The sequence below is a fragment of the Homo sapiens genome, chromosome 12, assembly GCF_000001405.40.
Source record: "Homo sapiens chromosome 12, GRCh38.p14 Primary Assembly".
NCBI classification, from domain to species: domain Eukaryota; kingdom Metazoa; phylum Chordata; class Mammalia; order Primates; family Hominidae; genus Homo; species Homo sapiens.
This window is the reverse complement of record NC_000012.12, coordinates 5,573,000-5,588,921: the sequence shown is the minus strand read 5'-3', so window position 1 is coordinate 5,588,921 and position 15,922 is coordinate 5,573,000. Positions and strand designations below refer to the sequence as shown.

General features: G+C 45.3%; 1 protein-coding gene and 1 pseudogene across 3 annotated transcripts in view; one reads left to right on the top strand and one right to left on the bottom strand.

The window, feature by feature from the left end:
• ANO2 (anoctamin 2) overlaps positions 1-15,922 on the top strand; it is a 383,578-nt gene that overhangs the window by 357,311 nt on the left and 10,345 nt on the right. For all 3 annotated transcript variants that reach the window (NM_001278597.3, NM_001364791.2, NM_001278596.3), the window contains 3 exons: positions 10,404-10,556; positions 10,915-10,967; positions 12,907-13,088. In NM_001278597.3, coding sequence (NP_001265526.1) covers positions 10,404-10,556; positions 10,915-10,967; positions 12,907-13,088 — 388 coding nt within the window. The remainder of the gene's footprint in view (positions 1-10,403; positions 10,557-10,914; positions 10,968-12,906; positions 13,089-15,922) is intronic.
• LOC101901829 (dynein light chain roadblock-type 1 pseudogene) lies at positions 4,477-5,161 on the bottom strand (annotated as a pseudogene).

Sequence of the window (15,922 nt, the reverse complement as noted above, 5' to 3'; positions counted from 1 at the left end):
TATCTAGCAGTGTGGCCTAGGGCATGGCGTCGTATAATTTCCCTGGCTTCCCTTTTTTCCTGGAAATTGTAGGGAATTAGACCAGAGAATGAGTTTTTCCCTGCAGTGATGCAACCCACCGGTCTGTGGTCAAAACCAATTGTGCAATGTGTCACAAGTAATGCACTACTGCCAATGTTTTAGAAATACAAGGTAAAACAGAGTCAGTGCCACCCTCACTTTCTTAGATTTCTAGATGTTTTTTGAGGAAGGGACGTTTCAGCATACACAAATGGAAGTGCAGGTCATCATTTTTCATTGAGTGTCTTGACAGGAATAATAAGTTTCAGACCATGAGACCAGCTGACCTTCAGGGCGCCTTCCAGTGATGACATGATGGTTCATACATCCTAGTTGAACAGTGCACCTCAAAGCCAAGAGGCCCAGGGTAATGTGAGTTGCCTAAGGTCACCCAGATGACTCACTAGTGGAATTGAGGTTAGAGCCACTTTCCAGACCATTCCACGGGAGACGTGCTTCAAGACCTGTAGTAACTTGGGCTTCTGTGGAAGGATGGAATGAAGTGAGGCTTCCTCCCTCCTTCCTAACTGGCTAGACCTCCCCCGTTCCAGAAGGGCCCATGTCTTGGACTTCGAACAAAAATGAGAGCAATGAAACCAAAGCTGCCCCCCGCCTCTGGTGTGCTTGACATGGAAGGATGGAATGAAGTGAGGCTTCCTCCTTCCTTCCCGACTGGCTAGACCTCCCCCGTTCCAGAAGGGCCCATGTCTTGGACTTTGAACAAAAATGAGAGCAATGAAACCAAAGCTGCCCCCCGCCTCTGGTGTGCTTGACATGGTGATCCCCGGCCCAGCTCTCAGCTGTCAGCCTCTTTCCCTGAGATCCCCAGGACCACCCATGCAGACAGGAAGTGCGCTGAGCCCACTCTGGGCCTGTCAGTAGGAATGGTGGGGCAGGTCCTCAACGGAGGGAGGCAGCAGGGGGAGATGTATTATATTTACATTTTTCTAAATTGAACTGGAACCTGGGCTGGGGCCCAGCAGGCTTGGGGGAGGGGCTGCGAGGTGAAGGGAGGCTGGGATCAGCCTGAGGAGGTGCATGGGGGTGGGGAGCCTCCTCAGGCCAGTGGATGTGGGGATGGGCTGGCTCCAGACAAAGGGAAACCTGAGAGGGAGGGATTAAGCTGGAGAAACCTGGGAGGGTAGCAGCTGGCTTTCGAGGGAATCTCCAATATCAAACCTTTTCCTGAAGGGCTTACTAAGAAGGACTTTAGGAATCGTCTCCCACTCCCCCATCTCGGAGGGGATGAAAGAAAACTGGCCCAAGAGATGGCCATGACATTAATCATCACTGTCCCCTACCCCAAAATGGGGCTTCAAAGCTCCATTGCCGCAGGCCCCTCACAGCCCTGTCATGGGGTTTTCCTCAGGGCTGATGAGAGGAAATTCTTCATTTGCTTTAAGAGCTGCAAGCTTAAGTTCTCTGGACACTTGCAGCCATTTGACTTTTCCTCCTGAGCAGAAGGATGTAGGCCCAAGTTTAATCCCGGAAGAGTTTAGTGACAAGTCCCAAAAAAATCTCTTGGTAAAGTTTTATCACCGTTTCATTCAGATAAATAAATGATGTGATTGTCAGTTCTTCTCACCTGAAGACCAATGGCCCAGGGTCATGATACTCACTAAATTGTGATGGAAGCTTCTTGAGGGTGAGATTTGTGTCTTATTGATTCACAGCACTTCACCACAAGGCCTGGCGTACAGTAAGTGCTCTATGAATGTTTTCTTAAGAAGGAAGAATGAAAGAAGTGATCCTGTAGTGAGGACCTTTTGGGCCGGCTGGGTGTGGGGACGGGCTGTCAGTTGGACTCTGCAGACGTTACCTTTCATGAAAACTCTCCAGACATCCTTGTGGTATTGATTTAGTTGGGACAACCTACACCACCCCTTGCAGTGCAAAGTCTCCTTATTTTGAAGTGCTAGTAATTAGGGAATGCTGTCATCCATAGAGCTGGTCTCCTATAGCAGCATAAATTGATGAACTTATGCAATTATCTGGATAGTTCAGGAAAACTACCCCATATATTAGACAACTACTGCTATGATAATGCTTTGTAGCAAATACTCCAGAGTCCCGGTGACTTAAAACGGAGACAGAGAATCAAAAACAATGAAAATGACGGGCTCTGGTACTGAGTTCCCTGCCTGACAATGATCAGGTGAAAGTGGACACTTATTAAAGGAGCAGAATGGCCTGAGCTTCAGATGGAGGGATAACTTAGGTGACACCACATTCTTTTCAACTCTGATATTCTTTGGTCATGGATGGTAAAGACTGCAATGGGTAATTTCCAAATTTCCAACAGAGGCTGGATGTAAGTGATCAGATTTTCTAGAATACCTGAGAAACCATCAGCACTGAGGCCCACATATTCTGTCACAAAGAACTGCAAGTGTGTGTGTGTTACAAGCCAATGGCTCAAAGAACCAGGAAATTCCTTTCCCTGGGCCATCCTGTTTACACACGCTGAGTCATTCCACTGGATAATGAGGCTCCTGCCATCTTCTCCAAATGGCGTTTAAACACAATTGAGGCAGCATCGAGGGGCTGGCTTCAGCATTTCTGAGAAGTAGGTTGAGTCCCAGGTCATTTCTGTCCTTTTGCTGCTGAGGCATAGATTGCTTGGTGTTATCTGCCCTAGACTGCATCCCCACGCCTTTAAGAAAAAAGGCAAAAGTGTATCTGGATACCACAGCCCTCAGCGTACCACAAAAGGCTTCTGGGATACAGAAGATGCCTAGTCAGTGCTTGAGGAGGGAAGGAAGGAATGGAGGGAAGGCAGTCTTTTAGTTTAAAACTGATGAAGAACTGTACTGCTGCCCCATTTCTCTTCTTGCTCTAACAACCGGGAAGCTCAGAGTAAACGTTACTGCTCAAACATAGCTGCATTGTGGTTCCCCGAGTTTTCTTACTTGTTTTGTCCTCTTTTCTGTGCTCCTTATTTCCGTTTTCTAAAATCCTATAAACCTAATTTTATTTTCATTTTGTTCACTTTTGCACAAACCTTTTGGGAAGAGGTAGAGGAGAAAGAATAAAGCAAAGAAAGGTCCTCAGTAATGATTTGTTGCTTGGGAACTTCATTCCAATCATGACTGGTTTCATTGCCCTTCGAACTCACGCACTACATTACCACAGTCCAAATGAGAGGATGGAGGGATGGGAGGAAGGATGAATGAATAATTGTCCTTCACACTCCCATCTTGCAGGTGGATAACGTAAACAAGAGTGAGAAAGCCAGACCATTCATTTGTTATTTCAGTAAATATTTACTGGAAGTTCACCAGTCTGTCCTCCAGGAAGTGGATCAGTAGATCTTGCCAACTCAAGTCTCCCTAGCTTTGATGTGGGACGGGAGAAAGAGCAGGGACTGAGTCTCCTTTAAACACAAAGAAATGAAGAAAACTCGGAGCCAAATGTGCCTTACTGATCTGTCCCAGCATTGCATTGCTTTGCATGCAGTAAACTCTTAATACCTAAGCTGTGACTTCAAGCCTGTCCCTTCCTGTTATGACTTCCCAGGCTTTTTGAATCAGGCCCGATCCATTGTGTAAACCCCCAGGTGACTCCATGCAGACTGAAAAGGAATTCCACATATTGTCCTTATTTCTTAAGTAGTTTTTTGTGAATTTGGATCAGTGAATTTGCAGGAACGACCTTAACTACCAACCATATAGCAAATTTTCTTATGCGTCTTCTACTTGTTCTTCACGTGGAGCCCAGTGATGAATGGTGCAAAGCCTCCATGGGTCTGCTGGTGACAGTCAGTTACCTCTGCCCAGCACTCTACAGCACTGTTAATGCTGGCATTTTGTTCTCACCACGTGAGGCTGTCAAGGATTGTTTCCATGTCCATCTTCCCCACAGCATATTCTGAGCCCTTGGAAGGATGCCACAGTAATCTGCTCATCTTCGTATTTAGCAATGCACATGGTCTCCAGTATATAGAATGTGCTCAGTAAATGCTTGCTGAATGAATGCATGAGTGAGTGGATGGTGAGTGATGGACGTTGAGAACTCTCTTATGTTTCTGTCAAGGCTTCACCATTTTTCTAAGCAATGGAGGCCCATGCTGAGGATCTAAAATAGCTCGTGCCTTTTCTTCTCACTGTCTTTTCCTATTTATGTGTACAATCGACACTTGCAATTCTTTTTATGCCAGACGTTGTCAGCCCAAAGCATAGTTGGCTTCCCTTGCTCTTGGGAAAAGGGGATCCCTGGGCACAGTCGTAAAATATGGGCTGAGGAAATAAATAGTTATGACCTTCCCCTGCTGTGCTCTTACATAAGTATGTACTAATGGGCTGTTTCTAGCGGAATCTTTCACTTACTGCCTCCTGAGTGAGAAGACAAGCTCATACCAGTGTGTCCTTCCATGATTCCCTTGCACTGCTCATTAATGGCTCATAAGAAGGAGGATTCTTTTTTTAAGCATTTCAGTTATTTTTAATTAAAGAAAAACAGCCTTCTCCAAGGGCCACAAAGTGAACTGAATGTCAGAAGGAAGCTGGGTGTGAGTTTCTCACAAGCTCTTGCTCCAAAACCTGTTAGTGAGGAGAAAGGGCCCTCCGGGAGCTCTGGGGAAGGTTGGTGCACACAGGAGTCCCTTTGGCGGGGTAGGCAGAGCCGCCAGCCCTCACATGGTCACTGGATTGGTTCGAGTGGGCTCTAAGGCAACTGCCGTGTGCCAGTCTGTTGACATGATCAACATTAATATTCTTGCGGCGGGGGGGGGGTGTTCATTAAATTAAGGAATGACACAGGGAGCCAAGAGAATGGCTTATTTGTTTGGATTCTGAATCACAATCGGGAAATAGTCTTTATCTGGTGCAACCATAATTCCATTTTACTTGGAGCAAATTCGAAGGAAGGTGAGATCATTCTGGGGGTCACTTTCATGCATGGTGCTCCGTGCCTTCAGGATGAAGCTGTGCAGGAAGCTGGCACACTCTGTGGTGGTGAGGTTGACCATGGTGCTCTTGATGGGAATGCCATCTTTGTTCACCATGATGATATTCTGCACTCCCCTCTGGCTCTGAAGTCACTTCAGTGTCTCCTCCACCTCTGATATTTACAACCGATCTGGTAGTCCTGCTTTGCCAACACTCAAAAAGGAGAATTCTTAAGCCCCCAATATTCAACTTCTTTAAGCAGACTGTGTTGCTTTTATTAAACAATAGAAAGCATTTTTTTTTTTTTTTTTTTTTTTTTTTTTGAGACGGAGTCCCGCTCTTTAGCCCAGGCCGGATTGCAGTGGCACAATCTTGGCTCACTGCAAGCTCCGCCTCCCAGGTTCACGCCATTCTCCTGCCTCAGCCTCCCGAGTAGCTGGGACTACAGGCGCCCGCCACTGCGCCCGGCTAATTTTTTGTATTTTTAGTAGAGACGGGGTTTCACCGTGTTAGCCAAGATGGTCTCGATCTCCTGACCTTGTGATCCGCCCGCCTCGGCCTCCCAAAGTGCTGGGATTACAGGCGTGAGCCACCGCGCCCAGCCAGAAAGCATTTTTTTAAAAGCTATAATCATTTTCATTAGAATTGGACTCTCCTAACCAACTGTTTTTACTACAACTTTCTTCGAAGTCTTCTGTGCCGATTGCAGCAATGAGAATTGCGATGTAGAGGTGTTCATACTTCATGTCTACCTCTCTTTTCACCATCAGCAAGTGCAGTGCTCTCAGGTCACACATTTTCATTTTTGACCTTGTATGTGTGTGTGTGTTTCACAACTGGTGAAAATAAGGTCAGATTTATGAAACAGATAATCTTTGAGCATCTGCTATGTGATAGGCACCACAAAAGATGGTGAGTGAGGACTTGGAAAAGAATCAAATAAGGCCCCTGGTCTCAAGGGGCTTTCCATCTAGGGAGCAGGTCAAATAAACAGAGAGGCGTGTCAAGGCATTATGGGAGTGAGGATGAGAGATGCCCAAGGCACCGAGTTCCACCTGCAGTGCTGGTGGGAAATGGAGGTGGAGGGGAGTCTTCATACAGAAGGCGAAGTTTGAGTTGAGCCTGAGAGATGAATAGCATCCTACTCAGCCGACCAGAAGAAAAGGAAAATTACAGACAGTAGTGGCATGTACCAAGGCTCAGAAATGTAGAAATCATGGTGAGTTTGGGGAAGTACAAATGGTCTTGGAATGGTTGGAAGGCAGGCGGAGTTGATCTCCAACATACTTGCTAAATATTTGCCCTTAGCACAGAACATGGGTGGGGAGGAAATGGTTCTGGATATGTTCACTGAAAAATCTTAAATAAATGAGTAAAAAATCAGAATTGTATTCCATCAAAATCTTCTCCACCAATCCTGGCAAGTCCATTCTATTTTATCTACTATACTGTTTGTGTTCTCTAAACAGATTGTCTTGAAACGTCCTTGTTGAATATTGTCTTGGTTAGTTTAACCCACTCTTCCTTGTTATTTTAACCTAAACTCAGGAAATCACTGATGCAGAAATGTCTCCAGCTTCAGGCAGTGTAGGGCTGATGGTTATTCTAGAAGATCCTTGGCTGCTGAAGGGTGAGAAGAGAAAACCAATGGGGTTTGCATGGAGGAGTTTCCAGCCTTTGAGCTCAGCATTACTGGAGCATTTTACAGCAGGCTTTATAAAGATTTGGTTGAAAATCAACTCAAAGTTTCCTCCCTAATTGGCTTGGCCAGGCTTAATCTGTTATTGGTCAGGCCGAGCTGGCTTCTATTATGCAGCGCACGGAGGATTTCCGGTGTTGCTCTTATTCTAATGGAGGCTTGCTGCTTTTAGAAACAAATCTTGGTGTTGGCAAAAGCCGGTATCATTGTATCCTCTGAAGTGAGCCCAGAAGGACTCCCAGCATTTTAGACCTTTGACTGAAAAGAGCGAGTCTTGGATTTGGAATTTGCATGCTAGAGAGTTATGGTTTTATGTTTTATTCTCCCCCAAATAAAACAAAACTTCCTATTTGTTTCTGCCTCTTTGGGTTGAATCCTGGCAATGCTCAGATTACCCAGTCTGAGCAGGCGACATCTGCAGCAATGGGGCGTCTGCAGAGAGGGCCTGTTCTTGGCTCAGGATACCATGGAGTAACACCAGAGGAGGGGACAGGAGGATCTTGTCACTTCAGGTCCAGCATTGCTGAGCCCAGTCTCTTGAGGCCATCCAGTGCTGAACATAGAGACTTACATGGCGAGGGGAAGGAGGAGGGACATTTTGTTATGGGACTGGGGTGATTAACAGGAGCTATTAGAGAGCATCAAGCCAGCACTGGAAGATGTTTGCGTTGACAGAAGAGGGACACCAGAGAGTCCATGTCTGGAGAGTTTGTGAAGGTAAAGAAGCAAACCAGCAGGGAAGCCCTAGAAGACAGCATTCATGTCTGCCTCTGGAGTTCAAATGAAGAGAGAAGAGGAAGTGGAGAGTCCCATTTTTCCTATAACCCTGGAAGGAAGTTAGATTTCAGAGTACCATGTGCACGAATGTGGTGAGGGCATGCTGTGTACATTTGCAATCCCTCAGAAGTAAACTGCCCTTCTCCCTCCCCATCAGTCTCCTTGCCAAACCCTTGCGGAGGCTCTGGGGAGTTTGCACATTTCTGCTGGAGGAAGTCACTCATGATAAGAACATTTGCCCTGCTGAACTGAGCTCATTAGAATCAAGAAGACCAGCTTATAACTCCATAAATATACATCCATCCATACACTTAAACACAGACATGCATTTTACAGGTTTTAGAATGCTAGTCTAACATCTGTTTTCGTTTCCTTGTTAATTCCATTCATCCCCACACCCTCCTGGCCTTATCCCCATTCCTGACTCCAAAGTGAATTCCTCAGCAAAGCTTTATTTAAAAGATGAGAGAGATCCTGCATTTTGAACTGGCTTCCAGAGCTTGTTTTTGGGGATTTCTCCACCACCCTCCAATCGTTGTTGGCCAGCCAGCTAGTCAGGTGATCACTCTAAGGTCCCAACCTTGACAAATCTGTGTATTTCGGTGCAGGTGTCTTGCTACCGACCAGCACTTGCCGGCCTCCTAGGGCCTGCAGGAACCTACTGGGCACCAAGGACAATGGCAGTGGACAGGGTTGAATCAGCAAGAACAGTGACCCACAACTGTGGGCTGAGCAAACTGCCAAATCAAAAGCAGTTGGGCTGGGGAAAGTTCCATGCCTGTTCCCTTTCCTGAAACTTCTATTGTGGTTGCTCTTATCCCTCTGTAGAAACAGAATTTTTTTCCCATTTGTGTCAGTTTTTTCATTCTTCATTTGAATATTCTAGACTCACGAAGCTTGTCTAAGACAATGCGAACCATAGCATCACAGCAAATCAGAGTTGGAGGCAATTTAAACCGGTCCCTTCAATTTATCAATGAGGTTGCTGATGCCCATTGAAACAAACAGGCTTGGCCAAAATCATACCTCTAGTTAGAAGCATATCCAGGTCTAGAAGTCGGGTCTCTCTCATTCAGTGCTTAAACCTTAAGTTTGTGTCTGTTTAGCATATAAGTATACAGTATACATTGCAGTCATCTGTACATGTTGATATTTATTCCAATAAGAATAAAATTACACATAAAAGATACCATTTATTAAACAGTTATTATGTATCCAACATTGTACATATTGTACATTGTATGTACATTGTACATATTTTGTATGTAATATCATTTACCCTTCTGGGAACCCTATTGGGTGGGTATTACTATTATCTTCAATTTACAGTTGAAGTACCTGAAGCACAGAAAGTTTAATAATTTGCCCTTAGTATGTAGGGGAGTCCTACTACATTGTAACTTTCCTGGACTCTGGGTTGTGTTTCCATCAGCAAATATGTACTGAACCCCTAGAAGGGACGGAGGCCTTGCCTTCTCAGTGGGAAATAAAGATGTGTGAGCAAGTCAATCACAGAAGCACACAGTGATGGCTGCAACAGAAGCCTGAACACAGGGTGGTGGGGTCCAGAGGAGGAGGGATGGGGCTTCACCAAGGAGGTGGCATTTGAGTGATCCCAGGGATGCATAGAAGCTTGCCAGCCAGAGTGTATGCTTATGCACAAATGAGTGGAAAGAACTAATGTGGCAGGGGACAATTAGGAGGGTGAGAAGGCAGGACCATGGTCGTTGCTGGGGAGATGCTAGGAGATGAAGCTAGGGAGGCAGATTGGAGGCAGATTATAAAGCACCTGTATGCACCGGTAGGGACTTTGGATTATATTCAGTGAACAGAGTGGAGCCAACAGGAATTTTTATAAGCAGGTAGATAACAGAATCAGGTGAGAGGGGCTGTGTGCTGGATAGACTCTAGCATCCTGGGAGAATGGTGACAAGAAACCCCGTCAGGAGGCTGTTGCAATGGTCCAGGTAGGGCTGGACTCTTTCCAGCTGTCTCATGGGCATGGGCTGTGCCACCATGCTTTTGCTCACACTGCTTCCATAGCTTAGAAGGTCTCTTTGACTTAATCCTCAAGAAAACTGCATGCCCATCTTTCCAGACTGTGCTGAGGGACTCTACATGGAGACCCATTCAGTCCCTGCCCTGAACAATGTACGTTCCTCTCCATTTGGGCCTTCTCTATCACTAGTACATTCTTTATTCTCTCTTGGCATACATAAAACCTTGTTGCACATGTTTGCCTACACTTAACTCTCCACTTTCAAACCCAGCTTCTTGCAGGCCAGAACAGACCTTTGCCTTCTTAAATACTTGGTACAGGGCCTGACATTTATAAATGCTCTCCATAAATGCGTGATGGATGAATAAACTTTCTAAACAAAGGCAGTGACTGTAGACATGGAAAGAAGAGTCCAAATCTGGGAGGTGGTTTTTAAAGCTATTTCAAGGGAAGGCAAACTGTGGCCCGTGGGCCAAACCTAGTCACTTTATATATTGCTTTTGTAAATAAAGTTTTATTGGAACTCAGCCAAGCCCACTTGTTGATGTGCTGTCTATAGCTGTTTTTACTGTATAATGGCAGAGTTGAGTCGTTGTGACAAAACCATATGGCCTGCAAATCCAAAAATGTTTATTATGATCTGGCCTTTTACTAAAAAAGTTTACCAAACCCTGAGTTAGATCAGTAGGATTAGTGACTGGCAGTAAAGGGTAAAGGAAGCAATTAAGACTTTTTTTTCTTGTATCTCCCCACCATGCCTAATCCAGAGCTTTGCTCCCAAGTGATGGCATTGACCAACAGGCCTGCAGGTACTTAGAAAGAAATACCGTGTATGTGACACAGGAGGAAAAGGGAGACTAAAAATTACCCCATATGGGAAAGATACCCAAGGCAGAAAGGACAAGGGGCTGTAGCTGCAAGCCAGAAGGGACCTGAGTCCTGCTTGTTCCTGCTGAAGCCCTCATGCTGTGCTCTCTCGCAGTCATCCAGTTTGGTTTTGTCACCCTCTTCGTGGCCTCCTTTCCCCTGGCACCTGTGTTTGCCCTCCTCAACAACGTCATTGAAGTGCGGCTCGATGCAAAGAAGTTTGTTACAGAGCTGAGACGGCCGGATGCTGTAAGAACCAAAGATATCGGTACGTGCCCCACTTAGAGGCCCCACCAGGCCCATCCTTCTGCCATTCTGTCCCCTCTGGCCACAGTCACACCACACCAGGAATCAAGAGGGCTGGGAAAGCCCCTCTTCCCTTTGGGTCCCTCATCCTCATATCCTGAAGTGCAGGGACGCCTTCTGAGACCGCTTTATCCACCCCCACTTGTGATCTGAGCTTCCAGATGGGGGGGCTACCTAAGCCTTTCCAGACAAGCCCATTCTGGGGGGGCCCAGCAAAGCTGCTCCGTAGTTCACCTGCAAAACATCACCTGGAGCTTCAGCGTTGTCATCACTGGGCCGAGGGCGGGAGTGAGCCAGACGCTGTCTTTTCTGTCTTGTAGGAATCTGGTTTGACATTCTCTCTGGAATTGGCAAGTTCTCTGTTATCAGCAACGTAAGTACTTGCATTCATGACACACTCGCTCTGTGGGAAGGGCTTCCAGAGAAGCTGAGGTCTTCAAAGTGGGAAGCCAGCCCTTGCACCTCCCAGCCTTTTCCATTTGTAGCTTTATTGGTGACAGTGCTCTGGTTAACAGCTCACAAATGCCTTGTAACCCATCATGCTGTCGCTGAGGCTGTGTAGGTTTAATTTTAATTTCACAAAGAGAAAGAAAGGTAATTATCCATCAGAATGCATACCTTGGCCCTGACGGTCAAAATCAGATCTTTCCTTGGAGCCAAGAATAATGAGGAAAGAATTCCACATATCTATTCATCTCTTTCCTTTCTTACTCTACTCCTGAGTTAAACAATACCTGGAGCATTGCCCAGGCTACAATCCCTAATTACCGTTCCTCCAGGTTGTCAGTGCAAAATCTTAATTATCCCCGTGGACTCTGGCACTGCGTAGGTTAAGATAGGACATAGAAGAAGGGTCCCACCTGTGGTGACCTCCTTAACTCCCTTGCCAGATATGTCTACACTGCAGAGGAAATCCTGCTGGGCCCCAGCCAGCTCCTTTTCTGCTGTATTCTCTAAGGACAGTGGCCAGGAAGGGCCTCCTGTCCCACCTCCCAGGAACATATCAGCCAGCTCAGTGCACACAAAGAAAGCCACAGCCCTTTTCCCTTGGGAGGCAAACAGTGATTTGACTCTGACCTGATTTCCTACCCAGATCACATAAAATGGCTGGAAGGTGTGAGGTGAGGCAGAGCAAATCAGCCCACTGCATTTTGAATGTTGTGATGTAGGAAGTGCACATCTCGAGGCTTAGAAATAAGGTGCAAGTTGGAAAACAGATCAGTCCGCTACTTTGAAGTTGTGTCTGTTAGAACAGAGGCCCTGAGTATTAATCACTTTCCATCTACAGTACGAAATGACGTGCAGTCTTACTTCCCTGGCCTCTTTAAGACTTGTTTACTTATCTGTCAAATGGGAGATAATAATAGTACCCACCAAATAAGATCATTTGGGAAATTAAATGGCATGATGAAAGGACATATAACAAGTGCCCAGTAAGTTGTAGCTATGATTATGATGTTATTCACTCTCAAATATGGTTCTGGCCGTTCACATTCACATACACATTTAGAGAACAATATCTGAACTACATTTTGGTAAAGGGCTTTAATTGTTGGTGCAGGATGCAGTATAAACACCTGCCAAAAAGATTTAAGACTTTCTTTGCAGAAAGTACCCCTGTGTTCAAATACGCAATCATTCATTTGTCATTTGGTTTGCTCCATGGACATTTATAGAGCACTTAGACATGCCAGATGCTGTGTTGGGTGTGTGTGGCTCCACCTAGCAGGACCTGTTTCTTTCTCCACTGTGTCTCCGTTTTCTTAAGTAAAATGGATACAAGAATAACTTCTATTACATGACATGCTAAAAAGTGTTGAGAGATAATGGTCAAATTAAGCAAACTGTGGAATCATATTCTTGGTATTTCTGGCTTTCTGGTACTACTCAGGGGCAGATGTACATGGGCATTCCATTTCCTTGCCCATTACACTTACGTAGTACCCTCATCACTATAGGTAATTTTTTTCAGGAAAGCGTGCACCCTGTTTTGGCTTGCTCAACAGCAATGTTAGATATCTCAGAAGTGGTTTAATCCTTCCAGCACCAAATGGTCCAAATTGACTTAGCATGCTTTGCTGCAGTGGTTGACATGTGCTCTTTTGACAGCCACTGTCTGGTGGACTTATTATACTTATACACATCAAAGATGGAAAAGGCATGTGACTCAGCTGCATGAGCTCAGGGACCTGATCATGCTGCATGAGCTTCTGTATCAGTCAGAGCAGCTCCTTCTGATGGGGAGCCTAAGAGTGGACAGTCCTTTTTAGCATCAATCCTGGCTACTCAGTGCTTATGGTTCTGTCCCTCAGGCTTTTGTCATTGCGATCACCTCCGACTTTATCCCCCGCCTGGTGTACCAGTACTCCTACAGTCACAATGGGACTCTGCACGGCTTTGTCAACCACACCCTCTCCTTTTTCAACGTCAGCCAGCTGAAGGAGGGGACGCAGCCAGAAAACTCACAGTTTGACCAGGAGGTTCAGTTCTGCAGGTAAAGTAATCTTCAGGAGAAGGGCAGCAGAGGACCAGAAGCAATAGATCCAAATAATTACGGGGACGACCTAGAATTACAACCCTGCACAACATGATGATGTTTTGGACAACAGCAGACCACATATATGGCGATTGTCCCGTAAGATTATAATACCATATTTTTACCATACATCTTCTGTATTTAGATATATTTAGGTACACAAATACTTACCACTATATTACTGCCTACAGTATTCAGTACAGTAATATGCCGTACAAGTTTGTAGCCTGGGAGCAATAGACTATACTTTATAGCCTAGGTGTGACGTAGGCTATATAGCATCTAGATTTGTATAAGCACGTTCTGTGATGTTTGCAAAGTCACCTAATGATGCATGTCTCAGAACATATCCCCATCGTTAAGCAACACACGACTGTACATCATTCTCCTTTCCCTCTGTCTCCTGCTCTCTCTGCAGTTGTTATAAATCAATTGTTATAAATCAGCTTTGATGACTCAAAAAATATTTATGGACTGCCTTTTTCTAGACACTATGGAGCAGACAAAGAGCCTTGTCCTCACCATCAAGGGGGCTATGGTCTGGTTGAGAAGAAAATAAGCAGAACAGATAGGAAATAGCAGGTTATTTGGTGAGCTTATGTATGGACCATGAGCATTGTGGGTGCTCAGAGGAGAGGGAGATTACTTGAGGGACTAGAATGGAAAGGGTGGGCCTCCTGGAGGGGCAGCTAGGTGTTGTAAGAGAGAAAAGAAAAACATTCTAGGTGGGGAGTCGTCATGGGCAAAGTCATGGGGTGGGGACAAATGTGGGCTGTTGGATAAAGACTTGGTGCTAGGTGATATGGTTAGCAAGGAGACACAGTAAAGGGATTAATAAAGGAAATACAGTAAATGTAGAAACTCCTACACCAGCATAAGCCAAAAGGTTGTTGAATTTGAAGAGATGGGATAAAGTACATAATGGGAAGTCCTGAAATCTAACGGGAATTAGAATGTGATGCAATAGGAAGACACTGGACTTTTTTAGTGTCAGGGAATGATAGGATAAAGGGAAGGTTTAGAGAAATTGATCTGTTCTCAGTGAGGACAATGGGCTAGAGTTGGTAGGACCCAGGGAGCGCAGCTGGGCTGCTGCATCATTTAGACATGAACTGTGCTGGGCATAAACCAGGGTGGCGGGAGGAATTAAGAGGAGAGGAGAAGATGAGCTATTTCACATGAAATATTGCAGAGTTGGTGACAGTAGACATAGGAGAGTGGCTGAGCTAGGATTATCTCCAAAACTTGGACTGAAGTCAGAGGACTGGGATGTGGTTACATTGATAGGGAGAGGGAATATGCTGAGAGAGTCTAATTTTATGCTACATATGATGAATTTGATTTCAATCATGTTACATTTAAAACGATGTTAAGAAATCCAAGAGGTCATTTTCACCCAACTCCTTGACACACTAAGCTGGACTTCTGGAGACGTCCAACTTAGAGTCCTGATTGAAGGCCATCAGCACTGGGGTCACTGAAGCCAAGAAATGGAAAACTCTCCACTATTTACCCAAGAAGGGCAAATGAAGAGAATAAGAGCAGAGGGGAATAATTTATTCAACCCATTTGTACCCTGGTTAAAAGATAGTCCCAATAAAGCACTTGACCAAAGATCCTACCTCATATATATAAATCAGAATAGTTAATTACACCAATAACAAAAACCTAAGAGAAGGTATTGTGGGACCAACATAGGGCTTTCTTAGACCATCCCCAATAATATTTGATGTAAAAGCTGTGTTTTCAGTTGTGTTGGCAGCAGTGATGACCCTGGGCATGTCTGCCATGCTTGGTGCCCAAGGCCAGCCTTTCGTAAGACAGCCACATAGGTTCAGATTTGTGGTCTGAGACCATGAACGAGAGAACACCAATTGGTTTTCCCAACCTGGGTGGCTGAGTTAAACAACTGTACCAATCTATGGTTTAAATAGAAGGGTATTCCAGTTCCAGGAACAACAACTTCAGGGTTCCACTGTCGTCAACCAAGAAAAGATAAAAAATGAGGAACCAGACACAAGAATTGATGAATAAATTTACTCATAAGTGTCAATTTATATTAGCCTAGATGTTTCAGGATTTTTCGCATCTGGGCCTATAAAGAGTCTGACTCTCATACTAAAATCACATTGCAGGCAGATTTGCTGCCAGGCTATGCACTGCCTGGGGGCCCCTCTGCATGGCTGACATGCTAGACTGTCTGTCCATGGTGCTGGACTTGGGTCTGCAGACCCCAGCGACATAGTTCCACAGCACAGAGGGTCTGGACCAGCTCGAGGCCTTTCCAGTAGCATCTAGGTCTTCTCAAAGCAGGGTCTAAAGCTCACATCTCTCTAAGAGCGCAGGTCTCCACCTCCATGTCCAATGGGAGGCAGCACCAGTGTGACTTGTCGTGTGGGAAAGCCAGGCTCACATCGTCTGTTTCTTTAGTTGCTCTAGAAGCACTTGTCCTCAGAGCACAAGGGTCTCTGATCTTGCCCTTGACCATTGGATTTTCCACTAACACCTATGAATATGCTTTTCAGGTATATCACTGGTGAAACAGGCTTAAATCAATAGGAATTTTAATGGTCCCTATGGGAAGTTGAAGGTAGATCTAATCTTAGGCAAGTTTTCATTCAATCCAGTCTGCCCAAATCCAGTCTCTGCCCACCTCCCAGTTCCACTGCAGTCAATGTTGACTGTGTTTTTAAGTTCCGTATGATTGCCAGGAACTGTGGTGAGAAATAAGGCAAATGGGTGCTACTCAGCCAAAACAACCAATGCCCAGGACACCAGGTATTGTGAATATG